Source organism: Homo sapiens, chromosome 2, assembly GCF_000001405.40.
Source record: "Homo sapiens chromosome 2, GRCh38.p14 Primary Assembly".
Lineage (NCBI taxonomy): Eukaryota > Metazoa > Chordata > Mammalia > Primates > Hominidae > Homo > Homo sapiens.
In genome coordinates this window covers 240,236,084-240,256,626 of record NC_000002.12, presented here as the reverse complement: position 1 = coordinate 240,256,626, position 20,543 = coordinate 240,236,084, and the positions used below count along the sequence as shown (strand labels likewise).

General features: G+C 51.0%; 1 long non-coding RNA gene across 1 annotated transcript, besides 4 other annotated features; it reads left to right on the top strand.

Annotated features, from left to right (window-relative positions):
• Positions 1 to 295: an enhancer, noted in NCBI's record as "tiled region #2002; HepG2 Activating DNase matched - State 1:Tss, and K562 Activating non-DNase unmatched - State 22:ReprW". NCBI's record gives its function as "activates a minimal TATA promoter and a strong SV40 promoter by Sharpr-MPRA in HepG2 cells, with weaker activation in K562 cells {active_cell/tissue: HepG2 | K562}" and the evidence as "EXISTENCE:reporter gene assay evidence [ECO:0000049][PMID:27701403]".
• Positions 174 to 4,518, top strand: LOC105373968 (uncharacterized). The gene is made up of 2 exons (XR_924057.3): positions 174 to 525; positions 649 to 4,518. It is a non-coding gene; the product is annotated as an uncharacterized LOC105373968 (long non-coding RNA).
• Positions 4,356 to 4,867: an enhancer, noted in NCBI's record as "H3K27ac-H3K4me1 hESC enhancer chr2:241191177-241191688 (GRCh37/hg19 assembly coordinates)". NCBI's record gives its function as "activates a minimal SCP1, AML or CMV promoter by ChIP-STARR-seq in primed H9 embryonic stem cells {active_cell/tissue: H9 hESC(primed)}" and the evidence as "EXISTENCE:reporter gene assay evidence [ECO:0000049][PMID:30033119]".
• Positions 4,868 to 5,381: an enhancer, noted in NCBI's record as "H3K27ac-H3K4me1 hESC enhancer chr2:241190663-241191176 (GRCh37/hg19 assembly coordinates)". NCBI's record gives its function as "activates a minimal SCP1, AML or CMV promoter by ChIP-STARR-seq in primed H9 embryonic stem cells {active_cell/tissue: H9 hESC(primed)}" and the evidence as "EXISTENCE:reporter gene assay evidence [ECO:0000049][PMID:30033119]".
• Positions 19,900 to 20,504: an enhancer, noted in NCBI's record as "H3K4me1 hESC enhancer chr2:241175540-241176144 (GRCh37/hg19 assembly coordinates)". NCBI's record gives its function as "activates a minimal SCP1, AML or CMV promoter by ChIP-STARR-seq in primed H9 embryonic stem cells {active_cell/tissue: H9 hESC(primed)}" and the evidence as "EXISTENCE:reporter gene assay evidence [ECO:0000049][PMID:30033119]".

Sequence of the window (20,543 nt, the reverse complement as noted above, 5' to 3'; positions counted from 1 at the left end):
GGCCATAAGAAGCTCCAGGCATAGAGCAACTCTCTATTTTCAATAACCTTCCAAGACTCTCAGGAATCAGAGTGGCCCGCCTGGGTCATGTGCCCATCCAGTCCCTGTCTCCCGAGCTGGGCGGTGCTGATTGGCCCGACTGGGTCATGTGTCTGTGGCCAGGGCTGCTGGACTGGGGAGAGGGTCATTTTCAGAGCAAACACAGAGAGCCTTTCCCTAAGAAAGGGAATGAATGGTAGACAGGCAGAAATCACACGTGCCCCCTGAGTGCAGCCATGCCAGGCATGGCCAGCAAGCGCTCCCATGGAGAAAAACTATTTCTACAGGTAACAGCCCTCCACAGGGGTGTTGGGGCTCCACTTTCCAACCTCTTTCTTCCTTGGGAGCAAAAACTCTGTGGCTGCCAGGACCTGCCTCTCTGAAAACCCCCGTAAAGCTTCAAAGGGGCCTGTCCACCTCGCCAGCTTTGATCTCAGGAGGAAACTTGCTCAGACACATGATCCAAAGGAATGTGTACAATTCCAGGTATGCACAGGCACCTCCCTGGGCAGAAAGCAAGGCGCTTTCATCACAGGCTGCGGGAGTCACCAACTGAAGAGACTCAATGTCCTTGAAAGCACTTTTCTTTTTATTATGTTCAAAATTCAGCAACGAAAACTGCTCGTCTTGCTTCTACGGAAGCTGTAAGGACGAGAAAGTGGAGCGCTGTCGCGGAAAGAGGCAGAAATTTGGTGACACAAGAGCGATCTCAGGACAGGGTGGAGCCAGGGATCAGGACTGTGGTGCCCAGTCCCAGCTCAGCTAAGCCAATGTGCGTCTTTGGGTAAGTTGCTTCCCCTTTCTGGGCACCGGTTTGAGCTTTCATAATGAAAACCACCTTCATGCCCTCATGACACTTTGCACAGTGTCATCAGCATTTGGGGCCACATGATTTCTGCAGGTCCCTCAAGTCTAGAGTTTTATTATTCTAGGCTCCAGGCTTAAGATGATCTGTTGAAACCCTTGGATCAAATAGCATCATCATTTCTAAAAGTCAGCCTTCCAAAATCAGTCTGGGAGCAGAGAAAAGAGCTTCTGACACAAGGATAAAGGCAGCATGAGCTGCAGGGGGGCCTCAGAGGCGTGTCGTGCACCTGCTCAGGAAAGACCCTCCTGGAGACCTGGTCACTGAGAGGGCAGAAGGAAGGCATGGCAAACACAGGCGGTCTTTTAAAGATTTGACCACCAGGAGCGGGAGAGGGTGAAGATCGCTAGCGGGATGCAGGGTCTGGGGACGGTTCTGAGAAAGGAGGCACTTGGAGCAGCTAAAATGCCAAGGGCAGAGGAACTGGGCAGGGCTGGGGTGAGATGCAGGCGGTGCCCCATGGTGCAAGGCTGTGACCAGGGTGAAGGGGGTGCTGGTGGGCGATGGGGGCAAGGGCGAACCCCTCTTTTACTGCAGTGGGGGAGGTGGTGCAGGGGCTTCTGGCCCTTGATTTTCTCAGTGCAGTGGGAGTTACGGTCATGGCTAGGGAGGGGAGGCAGGGGTGGGGTTTCTGGGGTTTCTGGTCACCTTCCAGAGCCTGACCCTGCAGGAGGGACCCTTGCTCTGCAGCTATGCTCCTTGGCCTGGGGGTAAATTCACAGGCTGGATGGATGGAGGGGATGGATTTCAAGGACTAGGGGAAGAAGGATGGGCAGCCATGGTTTCACGTTTTGTGGGGCCTGAGGTTCCTTCCAGGTTCTTGGCCAGCCTGCGTGGGTGAGGGGCTTGGGACTCCAGCCTCAATAGCCATCTTGGTCAATCTGCCTGCATGCCGCACCATGAGGAACACCAAGTGGGCTTGGGCCTCAGAAGGGACAGACATGTCCCTGGCCTCACCTGCCTGGTTAATGGGATTTGGGGCTAAGGGCCAAAGAGGGGCCCCTGGGGCATGGGGATCCTCATGACCCAGGCTCTCTCCTAAGCACACAGCGCCATACGCTAAGCACATGGCACCAACACGGTGCCAACTCTAAGTCTCCTAGGTGTTCAACTTGAACTTCCGAAGGTGGTGCCACTGAGCTCCCGACTCCAGAATCTCCCAGCCAGTGCATTTGGGATTGCGCCGTCCATCACACACAGGGATGGCCGCTCCCCTGGAGGGAAGTGTCTGAGCTGGGGACTCTCAGATGTCGCTCCTCCTGGATTAGGGAATGGTGGACCCAGGCCCCTGTTTCAGCCCCTTGCGTTGCACTGTTCTGGAAGGCTCAGTTCAACCTTCATCTCTTAGTGCAGGGGAATATGTGTCAGAGTGTGTGCGATGGCACCAGACTGGAATAAAAGAATGAGATTCCTTTGCAGTTTGGAGGTAAAGCTCAGTCACCACCCAGAGACAATGAGAAAAGCTGCCTCATCTGGAGCAGACAGTGTGGGGCTGAAAGTTGGCTCAGATACAGTTATGGGGCAACAGGAGACACATCTCAGCCTACTCTTCTTTCATCTGAGAGGAGAAAGCACTCAAAGGGCTTTAAATTAAAATCAATTTCTGTTCAATCCTGGGCTAATTTGGTTGGCCATCTCTTTCAGCTTGAATGGAGGTGCAATAAAGCGAGGGCACTTTCTGCGAGATCTGGAAGGACCCTTGGAACTGATCTCATCCTGCCTCCCTCTGGGAAGCCAGGGAAGGCCTGAGCCCTACGGGGTGATGACAACCGGCCTCTGCCCAGGGCATGCTGTCGAGGTCCTGGAGAGATCTGTTTCCCTGGTCACACTGGGACAGTGTCAGCTCCCATCCATCTGGTCCTAATTCTTGCTCCTAATTCTGCCTCCTGGTTCGCAGAACCCAGAGACCCCTAGACAACATGACAGGCACCACACTGAACGTGGGACTCACTTGATCCCTTATGTGTCCCTCTGAGGGGGGCTCATGCTCACATGCGAGGGATCAGAGGCCCCAAGAAGGACAGGGACTTGCTGCCGGTCACACAGCTTAGGGCTGCATGGTGGGTTATGGAGTGATCCCCCGCAAATGGCACAGCCACACCCTAATCTCTGGTACCTAACAATGTGACCTTATTTGGTTTCTGCAGATGTAATTAAGTTAAGGATCTGGAGGCGTGATCATCTAGATTTAAGGTGGACCCTAAATCCAATGGCTGTGTTTTCATAAAAGAAAGGAGAATGAGACAGAGACAGACACAGTAGGGAGGCCGCATGAAGACAGAGGCAGAGACGGGAGCAGAGAGGCCACAAACCAGGGAAACCGGGAGCCACTGGGTGCTGGAAGAGGTGCCAGGACCCTCCCCTAGAGCCCCGCTCTGGTTGTGTAGCCGCTTCACAGGGACGCCTGCTTAGGGGACGAGGGGAAGAGGTAGAGGGTGGTCAGAGGCATGGAAACAGGACAGGAGGACGCTGCCTGTTCATCCACAGCCGTCCCCTTCTGGAAAGCCTTTCTGAATGGGAAGGTGGGCTGCCTACCATGAGCTGCAGTGACAGCCCCTCACAGCCACTGTCCTCCAGGCTGTCCCAGGAGGCACCTGAGCTCATACAGATCGGTGGTTTCCCACTCCCAGAGCCTCCGGGGGCTCGGTGCCCCTCTGCCCACTTTGTGTCCGGCTGATCAGGAGGCTCACGTCGGCCTCCTCAGAGCAAAGCTCACCCACATCCCATGCAGGGATGGGCAGGACCTGTGAGCCCACCCTGTGACAGGAAGGCCCCACAGTACAGATACAGGGAGCCCCTCCAATGGCATGCACCACCAGGGTGCCAGATCAGGCTAGACCAGTGGCCAGCACCCACCTGCAGCGCAGGCAGTCCTGAAATCCTGTTTCCAAACCTCCTGAGCCCCTCTTCCCTGTATGGCCTCCAGGCCGCCTCCCTCTGTCAGGATTAAGCCCAGCTTTCTCATGGAGACCGTGTCTGTCTCCATCCCCGGCACCGTCTCCATCCCCAGGCACCCTCACACTCACTCCCAGCTGCATGGCCGCCACCCACCCAGCTGGGGTTTCCATTAGGCCCTGTAGGTTCCCCACCTCGGTCTCCTTCAGTGGGTTCCTTCTACACTACTGAGGTCAGGGCCACATCACAGTCATTTCTGTGTGTCCAGGGCTGTGAACACGGAGCTGCCGCGGTCAGCATTCCCTGTACATGGATGTAGGGTCAGGACCACTGTACCCTGTGGGGGCCTAGGTCACAGAGAAATCCCAGGCCTTGTTCAGAGATGGTGAAGGGTGCCCGGTGGCAACAGCAGGGTGTCCTCTGAGCCCCGGCACTTCTGAGCTCAGGGCTGAGTGACCACACAGGTAGCTGCTATGGGCCCAGCCCTTCTGCATCGTGCTGGGGGGATGCGGGGGCTCTGTTGCCTTCTCGGGTCCCAGGGAGATGTGCCTTCTGTGCCCACGTCTCAGCGGCTCCCACGGCGCATCCAGTGAACTGGGAAGTGTGAATGAGCACCTGCTCGGGCCAGTGATTCATCCGAGTGTCGTTAGCTGCTAATTATAATTAAACCTTTGATGAGTTGTGTTTCTTATCTTCTTAATTAAAATAATTATGACTAATGGAGTGGATGGCACTGAACTCCGACAGGTCTCCTGCAACATGTTACAGTGCCCAAACCCAGCTCCAGGGTGAGCTAGATGGATGGGGCTGTCACCCGGCAGCCAATGGCAAGTTCTGGGTCACCCTCAACCCCAAGGGCCAGCCCAGCACCCCTGGGGGAGGAGCGGGGGAGAGAGCCACTGCTGATTCTGTCTGCCCAGCACAAACCCCAATCTCTAAACCAGGGCTTGCTCCCAGATGGGGAGGCAGTGGGAGCGGGAGGGAGGGAGAGCTGGGGCGGGAAGGTGCAGGGAGACTCCTTCTCCCTCCTCGCCTGGTCCCTGGACATCTGCCAGTCCCAGCCAGTAGTGAATGGCTGATGTCACCATGGCCCTGGCGGAGCCACGGTACTTCCCAGCTTACAAAGTACTCTCAGTGCTGCGGGGTCATGATGTCCCCTCCCACCCTGCTGGGCCTCCGTCTTACAGAGAAGCAGCCAGGCCCAGGGAAGACTTGCTCACCAAGGGCAAAGGGCAGTGAGTCGGCCACAGGAACACAGCCCCCGGCCTTCAGGGCCAGCCGCCACCCACGCCAGCCACCCTGGGCGTACAGAATGTACCCGTGCGCGGGGGCTGGAGGTCGGCTATTCCGGGATCCGTGGCCATGGGATGACCAGCCCCTCCCCCGCTGAGGACTCAGCCTCCTTCTGTGTGGGATGAGGGGGTGGCAGGCTGGCCTCTGAGGCTGCTCTGTGAGGCCACGGGGGACCACTCGAGTGTGGGGAGCCCCAGGCTCAGCACACAAAGGTCTCACCCAGCCCGTGACTGACCCCGGGCAGCCCAGCGTGAGTCATGCTCTCAGGCCACACCCACCTACTCTGAGGCTGCGGTTTCTCATCACTACCCAGAGGCGTGGCCTCCTGCAGGCGTGTGGTCAGCCCAGGCTGGGCTAGGGGTCACAGCCCTGCTGGTCATACGCACCTTGGGTCATCTCCAGGGACTGGCAGCCAGGCCTCTGCAGCCCCTTCTCCGCCGGCTGCTTGGGCTCAGGGGTACCGGGCCCTCTCCTCATGCCCTTTATGGGTGGGGGCGGAGGGTTTGTGCCCACCCTTTCTTCTCAGGGAGGCTGAGCGGGGGTGAGGGCTGTCCACGCAGTTGGTGGGGGCCAGAGTGGCACCAGCTGGGACTTGCTGTCTGACCCTAGGGGTCCCTGTGGCCAGCCCCAGCCCTGGTGCCCACCCTGGGCAGGTCAGGAACGGGACAGTGTGGTGGCCAGGAAGGCTTCAGGAACCAGAAAGTGGGTGCCGTGGGGTCTTCCTCTCCAGGCACGGGTCCTGAGCCTTCCCTAGGGTCCCCCTCTGCCCTGACCTCTACCCCTTCACATGGGGCTCCGTCAGCCTGTGGCTCTCATCCTGGGCGCTTGTGCCCACTGGTCCTACTGCAAACTACACCCAAGGGCCTCCTTGCACCCAGGTGCCTTCTCTGTCCTCAGCCTCGAGACTCCGTGTGGCTGGGCTGGGGCCTTCCACTGCCGCGGCAGTGCTTGGGCTGTACTCTTGTGGGAACCCTCCTCCCTCTTCAGCCCTCCTTCTCCCTTCCCAAAGACTCTCCTTTATGGGGGTCAAGGGAGGGAGGGTCCATCCCAGGAGTCTCCATGGCTGGGAAGAGGTGGCCTTGTCTCCCAGGATCCTCATCAACGTCTCCTCCACCCCAAGCTGGGCCGATTTCCCCCTTGTCAATCCCACCCTTGCAGGGATGACTGTAAGGTGGGGCGGGTGAGGAGGTGGCACCATCTGATTGGCCTGCCTGGTAGAGGCGGGAGAGCTAGAAATGTGATTGACAGAGGGACCCAGCAGTGTCTCAGGAGGTGGGAAGGGGAGGTCCCCAGGGCAGGTGTTGGGGTCCCCAGAGCTGTCCCACAGGAGCCCCCAGCCAGAACTCCCTGGGGCAAGGCCTACTCCCTTGTACTGTGTCTCAGGAAGGTCCCTGCCCACCTGGCAGGTAGGACGGGATACCTGGGGCCGTGCTAGGCCAGATCTGAAAATGCCTCCAGAGAAAATCTTCAACCACTGGCTCGCAGCCTGGGAGGGAGGGAGGCCCCAGGAGGAGGAGACTGTGCAGCTGCTGAGGACCCGGCAGAAACAAGAGCCCCTTCTCCTCCCAGGCTGGCCCTGTGTGGCGTGGTCTCAGTGCTCCGCTGGCTCAGTCCAAATGGGAAACAGTAAATGCATTCAGTGTGACAGAAACGGATCCGCCCCACTCAGAGGTCAGGGGAGCCTGGAGAAGCAGCATGAGGTCTCCCTATCTCCCCTGTGAGCATTGAGACCATCTCAGCCAGGTCAGCTGAGCCAGGGTGCAGGGCCGGGGAGCCTGTTACAGGGAGGGCCCTCCAGCATGCCCAGGCAGACAGAGGGCGGGGGTTGCAGGCAGGTGGGGCTTTGAGAAGACACAGACGGAGGCAGGGCGTGCGGCCAGTGAGGTGCACGGTGCAGGCTGTAGCATGGGGTGGCCTCGTTGTCGGACGGTTCCTTCTGCAGACGTAACTGTTGGGCTCAGCAAAGGTGCCTGGTGGGGAAACAGGTTGGGAATGTAGCCTGAGGCAGGCAGAGGCCTGTGCTGGGAGGACACAGTGTGTGGAGCAGCACGGCCACAGGACTTGCTTCCACTGCAGAACGTGCAAAGGAGACGGGAGATGGCACACAGGACTCTGTCCAAGAAGACTGGAGGGAGAGACCCTAGGAAGGAAGCAGCCACATGGGAGATCCCATGGGGTAGGGAGCCTGGGCTTGCCTCTGGGACCTGAGGGCTCTGGGAGAGAGCCAGCGAAGCCCAGGCCTGGGTCCCACCTGTCCCCCCGCCACCCACCCGAAGGGACTCGGACGCCCAGGAGTCTCTCCCAGCTGAGCAGTCTGAAGAGGCCATGTCCCGACACCCGTGAGGAAGCCCAGTGAGACCCTGGGCAGAGGACTCAGCTGGGCCTGCCCAGCCTCGTGGCCACAGAGCCTAAGCTGGTGTGTGCTGCTTTAAGCCATGGGGCTGTGGCTCTTTGTCACACAGCATGGAAAACTGTTACACCTGGGCTTTGCCATCTGACAGGCTCTAGTTAGAACCCGGCTCTGCCCTTGCTGGTGACTCACTGTGGGCGGGCCTCAGCCCCTCTGCCCCCCATACTCACCTGGGGATAATGGTACCTCCCTCAGGGCTGGTGTTGAAGATGAACTGGGAAATGCACGGAAAAGCTCAGCTTGGAGCTTGCCGGGACAGGAGGAGGCATCATCGTCACAAGTGTGCAGTTGAGGGAGATGGGTCCACTTTCTCTCTTCCAAGCCTGGTCAGGCCCTGCAGAGGGTGAGGCAGGGCCTGTGGAGCATGATGCGGTTATCCCAGCACCTGGGGTGTCTTTGGGACAACCCTTAGGGTGACAGATGCTGGCTGGCACAGCCCCTAGCCTTCCCCACTCGGCCGGCACAGACCCAGCACCTCCCAGCCCACTCCACAGCCCACGTGCCTGGATCCCTGACCTGGGGCGGGAAAGGGAAGAAAGGAGCCTCGAAGTGGGAGAAACTGCAGACGCCCCATGTCCAGATGAGCCCAGGGACTGATGCACTTGGGCCAAGCCACAGGGGCTGGGTCTGTAGCTCTTCTGCTCCCTGGAGGTGTCCCCTGTGCATTAGCAGCTGCTGGTTGCAGCTGGTGCTGGATGATGATGGCAGAATATGAACTCAGAGGGTCCCTTCTGCAGAGTGAACCCTGAGGCAGCTGCCCCTGAGGACAGGCAGGGCCCTGGCCCTGGAGCCCCACACACATAGTTCTCTGCTGGAGCTCCTGGCCAGCTGGCTGGCTGGGGCCCACCTTCAGGGAAGGAGCAGGGGGTGGATGGGCCTGGGAGGGAGGCAGGAGCCCTGTAGAGGCTCGCGATTTTCCTAGGCCTGCACTGGGAAGGTTGGGCAGCCCTGGCCTGTTTCCAGCCTGCTGCCAGACGGGGGCCACGCTGTCACCAGCCCAACCCCCAGCCCCGGCAGCGCTCCTTAGGGGCTTCTCATTGCCACGGAAGAGCATTTATAAGGTGGCTGGGCCCACCCCGTAGGCACTGAGCCAGTCTCCCCCTTGGGGGACCGTCCAGCTTCTAAAAGGCCCAAAGACGCATGCCCAGGGCAGTGTGCCAAAAACCAGCATCTCCATCTTTCTGAAAGGACAGACAGAAGGGTTTGGAGAGACTGGGCCAGGGGCCAGCCTCGGGGCCTCCAGGAAGAAGAATCCCAGCAGGTCCTGTCTCCCCAAGTACAGAAAGACCCACCATGGTGCTGTGCTGTGCCATTCAACCTCCCCCAGGCAGAGCTGAATCTGTGCAGATAAGCTGGAGGGTCCGGGGGCTACAGACTGACCTCCCCAACAGGGTGGCGATCCCAGGCCCCAGAGCGGCTCCTGTGCCCTCCCCTCATCTATCAGTTATCTTGGCTTCTAGAGGCTCCCCTGCCTGCTTCCCAGGACACTGGTGGTTCCAAGGGAGGACCCCTCTCTCAGTGCTCCAGGGTGGCGCAGATTCTCAGGAATCTCTATACACATCTCCCCTGCTCCCTTCCCAGGAGCCCAGTGCTTCCCAGGTAGGACCCCTCTCTCGGTGCTCCAGGGCAGCATGGATCCGCAGGAATCCCTACGCACACATCTGCCCTGCTCAGTGCCAACAAGTAAATGAAACCACATGGGGTAGTGTGAAGCTTCTACGAGCTTTTACACCAGAATGAAAACACAGATGAGCTCCACCGCAGAAGTGCAGCAGGCACAGAGCTGGGCTTTGTCCACCTCCAGCAGGATCAGGGGACACCAAAGTGAGGGTTTGGGGTGGGATGCGCTAGTCAGTTCTTGCACTGCTATCAAGACATGTCTGAGACTGGGTAATTTACAAAGAAAAGAGGTTTAATTGGCTCATGGTTCTGCAGGCTGTACAGGAAGCATGGCTGGGGAGGCCTCAGGAAACTTACAATCGTGGTGGAAGGTGAAGGGGAAGCAGGCAAGTCTCATGTGGCTGCAGCAGGAGGAAGAGAGAGAAAGTAGGGAGGTGCCACACACTTTTCAACAACCAGATCTCTTGATAACTCATTCTCTCCATGACAGCACCAAGGGGGATGGTGTTAAACCAGAGAATCACCTCATAATCCAATCACCTCCCACCAGGCCCCGCCTCCAACATTGGAGATTACCAATTGACATGAGATTTGGGTGGGGACACAGATCCAAACCATATCAGGGGGTGAGGGAGGAGAAGCCCCCAGAAGAAAGGTCATGGGGGAGCTAGAAATGCTCCTTCCTCAACAACTGACTGTTGAAATGCAGCCCATTCACCACGCCCAGCTTCAATGCTACCACTTCCAGGCAGCCCTCCCGGGTTCCTTCCTCACCTCTTTCTCTGTGGTGCTGTCCTTTCGTGCTGCCTCCATCACCTCTAGTGTTATGTCTCAGGAAGTCATGCTTATGTGGCAGGCCGGGCTCGAGGGTTTGAGCAGGGACCCACGTTATCTGACCCCCTTTCCACAGGGTCTCTTTGGCTGCTGGCCAAAGTGGACTAAGGCTGGAGACTTTTTAGGAAGTGCGGCGAGAAGGTGGGATTCTGGACAAATCCTGAGGGCAGAGCCGGGGGATGAGGCTGCGAGAGAGAGGAATCGAGATATTTGGCTTAACTAGTGGAAGGACGGCCTGGCAAGGCACTGGGGGCAGAGATGAGGGAGGACCAGATTTTGGAACAGGAAAGTCAGGCTTGGAGTGTCAGTTCCCAAGGGTGAGGCCCTAGGACACGTGTGTGTGGTCAGTGCCCACCTATAGATGAGGTGACGGTGTCGCCATGAGTGCCTGTGCCTGTCTTGGCCTAGAGGGTGGCCAAATGGGGGGCAGGTCCTCTGACCAGAGTGTGGGAAGGAGTGGACTGTACAGAGTCTGGGGTAGAGTCAGAAAAGTGTGTCTCCTCCATCCTGTCCTCTGTGTGTGTGTGCACGTGTGTTCATGCGTGTGCACACACTGCACTGCAGTGGGTGTCAGAGTCATCCGGATGCCCCTCTGCAGCTTCAGCCGAGCCTCGGCCCCTCTAGGGCTGCATTGCGCCATGTCCTCTCCTGCTTTGCCCCCTGGAGGCTGCAGCCTGCGGGGGTAGGGAGGAGGGGACCAAGGCTGGAGAAACCGCGAGGAGCATGCACAGGCCATCTGAGCACCCGGAGCAGCTGAGCGCCGGCTCTCAAACAATCCACCACATCTGTGCGACCCCGTGGTCACGACTCATTGCAGACCCGCAGCCCTGCCCCACATACAGCCCCGGGGTCCAGCTGCTCGGAAAAGTCTTTCCCAACCAACAGCTGCGCAAGGCGGCCTCCCTCGGGAGCGGCAACAGCAGAGCTGGTCCCGGGGGATGTGTTTGCGCGATCTGGAAAGGGTTCATTTTCTTGTGAAAACAACAATTTGAAGGAAAGGTTGTCAGGGACAACTTGGAATGACGGAGTGACAGGGTTCTTGGAGATTTAGATTAGAGGCTTGACATTCCCTGGGGTGTTTAAACCTGGCTCCTGGGTCAAGAAAAATTTGAGCATTTCTTTTAACTCAACTCTCTCAGTTTATGGGTCATGAAACCACAGCTCGGAGAGTCTAGGGTTATTTGACATTTCCAGTCCATATGGAAAGTAAATTGGATCCACTGTATTGGCCATAAATAATAATTTCCTCAACACCACCAAACTTTGCACTTCCGGGCGCATCACAGGGGCCCCTGGAGGACAAACCAAGATGGCGGCCCTCCCTCATGGGGGCCAAACCCTTGAGACAGGAAATAGGAAGAAAGAAGCACAAAATATTCTCATTTCTAGACAATGTATTTATTTGAGACTCAAGTAAAAGTATATTTTTAAAATCCTGACAACTTAGTAAATATGGCTATATTTAGCTGTTTATATATAAGATCTATAGCTGCTATGTAAGATCTATAGCTATATCTGTTTATCAGTATTTTTACTATAGACCAGAAATAGCTTGAAAAAAAGAAAAGAGAGAGAAAGGAAAACAAAAATCCAATTCAATCTTGCCATAAGAACACGCTTCTTAAGAAAGGTTTAATCTGAAAATGTCTGGACTTCGTAAGGAGAACTGCAACTCTGTGTCTTAGCTTGGGTTGCTATGCCAGAATACCCTAGACTAAGTAGCATTTATTTCTCGCAATTCTGGAGCCTGGGAGTCTGAGATCCTCCCGTGACTGGTGAGGACCAGCTTCCTGGTTTACAGACAGTGGTTTTCTTCTGTAACCTCCCATGGTGGAGAGCAGGGAGAGGAAGCCAGGGCTCTCCGGCCTCCTCTTGTAAGGGCATTGATCCCTCTCAGAGAGCTCCACCTTCATGACCCGATCACCTCCCCAGAGGCCCGACCTCCAGATGCCATCACGCGGGGGATTTAGTCTTCCACATGCGAAGGCGTGGGGCACAGTCCCCAGCACTCTCTAGTCAGCTGTACAGGAAGGTAAGCCAGGAGGGAGGAGCCGTTCCGCGTGGACGCACCGGAAGATGAGACAGGCTTCCTTCCAATTAACATGTCGCTCCAATTCTTTGCCAAGGACTTGATGAAACAATTCTAAGTTAATCTGGAGAAATAAATATATAAGAATGAAACACAAAAAAAGATAAGCCACTAAAACTTAAAAAACTAACAAGGTGACAAGAAAGACTAGTCCCATCAGAAATCAAAACATCAATGAGGGAGAATCTCTGATGTGTAACATACGGAATGTCCAGGAGACAGGGCGGGAAGACTGGTCTGCCATCAAACACCTTTTATCCGTCTGATTCTGTGCCATTTGCACCTATTATGTATTTAAAGCATATATTTTTTAAAATGAACACTATCAGGATTTCTCTCTTTATACGTAGGCCAGTGTGGTGCTGGTGCAAGGACAGACGGCCCAGAGGAAGATTGCAGGTCACGCAAATCTTTAAAATATAACGAAGCCAAAATGATAAGTCAATGGAGAAGATTAAGGTTATTTAATGAATAATCAATTAAGACATTTTCGGAGGAGGAAAAATAACACAAAAACTCATCTAAAGTGAATCAAAGTAAATCGCTTAAAAGTTAGAGTTAAATGTAATAAAAATCAAACCATAAAAAGCTTATAGAATACAAATATAAGGATTAAGTCCCTTGATGGGGAAAATCACATTTTAAAAGCAAAGGAAAGCCAAAAAAAAAAAAAAAAAAAAAAAAGGAAAAAAGTCAATAGATAGAACTACATACAAACTGAAGATATTTAAGCTTAATAACAACATAACCAAGTTGTTATTAAGGCAAAAGACAAAAATCTGATAAAGAAAAATATTATAAATAAATATCAGACACATACAACAACCAATCAATGACAACACTACAGTGAAATCTCAATGAATAAATGGACATTGAGAAACAGGTAATGTAAGAAACTATCACTTATTAAGAAACATATAGAAAGCTCTCACAAAACAGTCATAAAATCAATGAAAAATGTTATTGTGGAGGTAATTTTAAGAAAAACATCCTCCATTATTGTAGGAAGGTGTATTATAACTATTTTGTAAAGCATTCTGTGAAGAAACACATTTTTTTTGCTGTTTAATCCGCCTTTACAACCCTATTTTATAAAAACAATCATAAATAAAGAAAAAGGCTTTATGCAGTAACGTATTCAGGAAAGCAAAACAATATATGTCTTGAAGCTATACCTATGGAGGAGCTAAGAGAAACGTGGCATGGTCGTGGACTGGAATATTACACAGCTACTCTAAGATTTTCTGTAACGTAGGAACCCAATTCATCAGACAAATCAGCAAGCCAGCTGGACGCGGTGGCTCATGCCTGTAATCCCAGCACTTTGAGAGGCCGAGGCAGGCGGATCACTTGAAGTCACAAGTTCAAGACCAGCCTGGTCAACATGGCAAAACCCTGTCTCTGCTAAAAAATACAAAAGTTAGCAGGCGTGGTGGCAGACGCCTGTAATCCCAGCTATTTGGGAGGCTGAGGCAGGAGAATTGCTTGAACCCCATTGGCGGAGGTTGTAGTGAGCCGAGATCATGCCACTGCACTCCAGCCTGGGAGACAGAGTGAGATTCCTCTCAAAAAACAAAAACAAAAACAAAAAAAAGCAGCAAGCCAAAAAAAAAGGAACAAGAATGTAAGGAAATATACTGATATTTTTAAGCAGTCATCTCGTCATCTCTAGGTGGGGAATCTGTGCCTGAATTTCCCTTCATCCACTGTTTTGCAGCCTCTGAATTTTCTCTTGTAATTATGTATTACTTTTATAATTTAAAAAAATCAATAAATATTATTAATTTTAAATGAGTTTACCAAGTGTGATGGTTAATAGTGAGTGTCAACTTGATTGGATTGAAAGTATTGATCCTGGGTGTGTCTGTGAAGGTGTTGCTGAAAGAGACTAACATTTGAGTCAGTGGGCTGGGGAAGGCTGATCCACCCTTAATCTGGTGGGCACCATCTAATCAGCTGCCAGTGAATATAAGGCAGGCAGAAAAACATGAAAAGGAGAGACTGGTCTAACCTCCCAGCCTACATCTTTCTCCTGTGCTAGATGCTTCCTGCCCTAGAACATCGGACTCCAAGCTCTTCAGTTTTGGAACTTGGACTGGCTTTCCTTGCTCCTCAGCTTACAGACAGCCTATTGTGGGACCTTGTGATTGTGTAAGTTAATAAACTCACATATATATGTGTGTATATATATATATATATAATGGGTATATATATATAATGTGTATATATGTATAATGTGTATATATAATGTGTATATATATAATGTGTGTATATATAATGTGTATATATATAATGTGTATGTATATATAATGTGTATATATAATGTGTATATATATAATGTGTATATGTAATGTGTATATATATAATGTGTGTATATATATATAATGTGTATATATAATGTGTATATATATATATATATAATGAGTATATATATATTATTAGTTCTGTTCCTCTAAGAGAATCCCTACTAATACACCAAGCTACTAGAGTTTGAGCTTCCCCTTCCTTTATGAGACATTTTTGGTATTAAAACCAACACTGACTATAATAACAAGATACAGAAGCAACCCAAATTTCCAACAATATAGGAGAGCTCATATGATAAATCCAGCTATGAGAATGCTATGCAACCTTTAAAAATGACATGGGAGGAAAGTATTTAATGACATGGAATATTTGATGTATTAATAGTACGGATGTGTTTAACATCACCAAAGCTAGTCACCAAGACTGCTAGAGCAACATAAGAGAGGATCTCATTTTTGTACAAAACTCATAACTGCAAATGATGCTCACCATGTGTCCAGATGGCAGAATTATGGGTAACATTTGTTTTCTTCTTTGTATTTTTTCAAACTCCAAGTTTTATATAAAAATGTATATTACTTTCAGAATCAGAAAAGAAAAGCAAAGCTCACTTAAAAAACAAAAAGGACATTTCAACAAATGTGAGAAGCCAACTGGATCTCCACAGGTAAAAGAATGAAGCGTGTCTCCTTCCCCAGCATGCACAAAATTTAAGTCAAAATGGAACATAGACCTAGTGCAAGAGCTAAAACTATATAAATCTTAGAACAAAGTATAGGAATAAATCTGTATGACCTTGGGTTACAAATACATAGAAACAATAATTTATTAGATAAGACACCAAAAACACAAGTGACAAAAGAAAAAACATAGGTAAATTGAATTTCATTAAAATTTAAAACCTCTGTGCTGAAAAAATACCACCAATAAAGTGAAAAGAAAATCCACAGAATGAGAGAAAATATTTTCAAATCATTTATCTGGTAAGAGACGTGTATCCAGAATATATGAAGAACTCTTAGACCTCAACAAGAAAAATATAAATAACCCAATTTAAAAATGGGCAAAGGATTTGAATAGACATTTCTCCAAGAAGATACACAATGTCTCCTAAGCACAAGAAAAGATGTTTCATTAGCCATTTAAAAAATGCAAATCAAAATCACAAGATGCCACTTTAGACCGAGTAGGATAACTGCAATAAAAAAACCCCAGACAATAACAAGTGTTGACAAGGTTATGAAGAAACTGGACTACTCAGACATGGCTGGTGGGAATCTAAAATGGTGCAGCTGTTCTGGAAAACAGTCTTGAAGTTCTTTAAAATGCAAAACATAGAGTTACCATATGACTCAGTGATTTTACTACTAGATATGTATGTGCTCAAGAGAAACTGAAACAAATGTGCATACAAAAAAACTTGCATAGAATGTAACAGTGTTCATAATATCCAAAAAGTATAAACAACCCAATTTTTCACCAACTGAGGAATAGACAGATTACATGTGGTATCTTACAATGTAATATTGTTTGATAATAAAAAGGAATGCGGTACTGACACAATGACACAGCAGTGGATGGACCTTGGACATATTATACTAAAAGAAAGAAGACAGTCACACAAAACCATATTTAGCATGATTTTATTTATGTGCAATGTCCAAAATGGGCAAATCTATAGTGACAGAAAGTAAATTAGGGGATGCCTAGGGGATGGGGGAGGAACATAAGGAGAGACTTAACAGGACATGTGGTTTTTTTGGAGGGGAGTGATGAAAATGTTCTAAAATTAGAATGGGGTGATGCACAACTCTGAATATATGAGAAGCCATTGAATTGTACACTTTAAATGGTGAGCCCAAGGCTTTGCCTGTTTTGCTCATTTAGTCCTTAGCACAGCTCTAAGTGTGGGCATCACATTCTCATCTGTAAGGATCAGGTCACTATGGTCTCAAAATCCACAGTGGCTGAGCCTATAAAGCCTAAGTCTGTTTGCATCCTCAGCCCTCTTGCCCTCTTTCCCCTACCTCAGCAGCTGCTGGTGTAGGACTAGGAAGGTAATGCCGGAACTCATGCTTAGAAAACAACACATGCTTTCTCAGCCAAAGTCAGTGTAAGAAAATCTCAGGGCTTGAGACAGGACAGCTGGTACCACAGGCTCCAGAGAGCCTGGCTGTGTTAGACCTTTGGCCATGGGGTTCAATACATCACCTTTCAGTTCCCTAAGAACCATTAAAGTCCCTCAAAACCTTGAACCCAAGATGCTACCCTGTGCTATGACTCTCTGCCTTGTCACTCTTTCACCTGCGTTTATTACTGTCCACATCCTCTCGATGGGCACAACAATCAGACATCGATCTGCCCCCACAGAGCTCACACCCAAGTAGGTGGGGACATGTGCCAAATACCTTTCACAGGTGTTTAGCTTGGGTCTGATCTATAATAGGTGTTCAGAGTACTCTGACAGCACAAAGGAAAGGTAACTAACTGACTAGAAAGGCAGGACAGTCTCCATCCTTCCAGCCATCCAGCCATCCACTCAACTAACCAACCATCTGTCCATCCATCCACCCAATTATCCATCCATCCACCCAGCCATTCATCCCTCTGCCCATCCACCCACACACCCAATCATCTATTTGTCCATCCATCCACCCAACCATCTATCCACCCAGCCATCCATCCATCCACCCAGCCATCCATCCCTCGGCCCATCTATCCATCTACTCATCCATCCATCTGCCATCTATCCATCCACCCAACCATCCATCCATCCATCCATCTGCTCATCCATTCATCCACCCATCTACCTATCCATCCATCTGAACATCCATTCATCTACTCATTCATCCATCCATCCACTCATCCATCCATTTAACCATCCATCCAACCATCCATATCTGTCCATCCATTTGTCCATCCATCTGCCCATCTCTCTATCTGTCCATCCATCCATCCACCCACCCACCTGGAGCTCCTTTCACTATACTGTTCTTGATGCTGAAGATTCATCACAGAATTAGATAAGTTAAGGCCATTCTCTCATACCTTCTGGCATATATAACATCAAACAATCATGTAAGATTATTTTAGATATGGATGATAACCATGAGGAAATAAAACAGAGTAATGGATGGAGAAGGTCTGGGAGCCAGGGATGCCTTCTGGCTGGGTCATTTATGCTGGCGTTTATGGGGAGGAACTATCCATGCAAAGTTCTGGAGATCAGGGGCTCTAGGCAGAAGAGCCAACTCAGTAGCATCCAAAGGCAAGATTGAGCTTGCCTGAGGCCAGGGGTTGGGACCCTGAGGGAAGGGGCCTTTGTGCAGGGTCTCTTAGAGTGAGTTTGCCAGGCAGAGCAGGTGGGAAGAGCATACAAGGAGCCCTGTGGACAGGAAGGGACTTGGTGTATGTCCAGGAAGACCAGGCAGTTAGATGTTATCTTTCACAGGGAAGAATTAGAAAGCAGGAATAGCCAGGAAATCCCTGGAAAAGGAGGGCAGGGTGAAGTTGGTGGGGTAGACTATGCCATATAATACATGTTATAAAGCTTCTGTGAGCACAACAGCATGGCATTCATTCGTTTACAGATGAATGGACCAGTGGAATAGAGAATCCAGAGATAGACCCACAAGCAGTGGGCTGTTGTCAAGGTGGGTGGCATCCCAAGTGAGTGGGAGAAGATGGACTCTGTAACCAAGGGGTTCGGGATGCTGCAGAGCCACATGCAAAGAGAAAATTGGATCCACTTCTCACAGTGGACACCAAGTGAATCAGAGATGGAGTTACACAAGTATTAGAAAATAAATCAGGTTACTTCCTTTACAACCTAAGATGGAGAAAAGCTTTTATAACCATGACTCAAAATCCAGAAGCAATCAGGCAAGTTGAACAAATTTGTCTCCACAAAATTAAGACCTTTATATGGGAAAATACACCATCTTCAAAGTCAAAGGACAGGTAAGACAATATTTGCAACTAATATTACAGATGCAAGGCTAATATCACTGATATACAAAAAGTTCCCAAAATGAAGAAAATGTCCAAAGATCTGTAGGAAAATAGGTACAAGATAGGAACAAATAGTTTGTAAAAGAAAAAATGCAAATGCCTCTTAAACATAGGAAAAGGTGACTCAATCTTGCTCATATAAAAGAAATGTGAATTCAGACAACACTGAGATTCCATTTCTCACTGATCAGCTTGGCAAAAATCCAAAGATTTGACAACTCATTGTGTTGGTGAGGCTGTGGAGAAACAGGTGTTCTTATTGATTACTGGTGGGAATGCACAATGAGGCAGTTCCTAGGGAGGGAAATAGTTGGCCAAGTTGCAGATACACATGGCCTTCAACCTACCGATGTCAGTTCCATGAATCTCTGCCAAGAAAACGCTAGGGAAACAGCGACTTTGGCACAGGCCGCTCTTTCATGGTGATAGCAAAAACAGAAAACTCCCAGTTGCCCATCCAGGGCAACTGTTTGATTAAATCCTGGTCAGTCCCATAAGGAGTGCGTTGTAGGAACAGGAAGTCGTGAGAAGGAGCCGTGCGTGCGATGTGAAAGGCAGTGTCGTGTAAATGCAGTAAGAGGCAGGACATGTCAGAGAGGCTTCTAGAACGGCTTGGAGATGGGTATGCATGGGCTTCTCATATAAAATAACCAGTGAACAGGTAAACCCCGACCTAATAAACACGGCCTCCAGTGGGGGTGGGGAAAGAAGGTGGTGGGGGAGGGGAAGGGGGGCCAATTCTGGGGCTGACCTTGAGCTTCACATGGCTCATGTCTCCTCTGGAACCATGTAGATGCTTTGCTAAAAAACAACAACAAATCCTAAAGAACAAGAAAGGAATCCCTACAAATTGGAAACTGGCAGGAACAAGTAAACCTAACTGTTTACCAAATTGGTGCCAAGAAATCTTCATGTGACTGTGACTTAAAAAATAAACAGTATTTTGAGTACATAATTTTAGTGAGATATAGTCTCACTAAGAACAAAATAATAATTCCAAAAAAAAAAGTTATCTTAAAACAAGGAATAGCAGAAGGGGAAAATAAGAAAATATTCTCTTCTCTGATGGGAAACAGGGAAGGACATCCAGCCCAATCCCCCTCCCCCCAGCCTTCCCCAATCCCCACCCCACCCCACATGTATACACACAGCGGTCTGAGTCCTGCAGGGGACAGAGATGACAGGAGCTGGGCCCGAGACTGACTGACAAGTAGGCCTGGGAGGGCACCAGTCTCTGCGACCAGGTGTCCATGAGGGCTTCCAGGGGTCTTTCCACAGGGGCTGGGGCCTTTGGATGGAGTGAGCCTGGGAACTGTCAGAGGCACAGGGGTGCAGGGGAGGGGCAGGAGGGACCCTCTGTGCTCAGTGCTTTCTGGGAGTTTCAGGCTGAGGCTGGGCAGCCCCTTGGCCCCCTGCTGCAGGTTTGAGCAGTGCTCATTCCGGCCCAGCCCCTCCCAGGCACAGACACTTGAGCTCTGCTCAGCAGGCAGGGCAGAAATGATGACAGGTGCCACCACCCCCGGCCCGCCTGTCACTGGAAACCAGCTGCTTCCTGTCAGCAGTCCTTCAGGCCAAGGACAGCCAGGCCCACTTGGAGCTCCTGTTTCTTAACCCAGCCCCCTCCAAGCAGGCCTTCTTCCAACGCTAGGGTCAACACAACCTTCGCTAGGTCCTGGCTCCTGCTGTCCCCAGGGATCTGGGATGGAGGAGGCCCTGATGGGAGCGGGGATGAGGCCTCGAATGGGATGGATGGCTAGAGAGAGGTGTCCCTAGGGAGATGGGGTGAGGGGATGGCTGCTGGTGGGGAGGTCACTGGGGGAGGAGGCAGGAGAGACATGCTGGCTGAGGAGGGATGCGGTCTACCCAGGAGGAGCAGAGGTGCAAACAGGAGGACGATGGGTGTCCCAGGCCAGTGAGGGCCAGCCTGGAAGGCAGACCTGGAACAGGCAATTCCCATAGACCTTCTTGGGGGGCCAAGGAGCTTGGTTGTGTACCACCCGTGGTGGTGGGGGTTCTGGGCCTGAGGGTTCTGGGCTGGGAGTCACCCCACAGAGCTGATTCAGGGTCACAGTGCACCCAAAGGATGAGGGAGGGGAGCTGGAGGGAGAAGGTTCCGGGTGGCCACTCCCCTGAGCATGCATGGGGAGAAACTGTCCCATTGCTCAGCTAAGCTGACATGG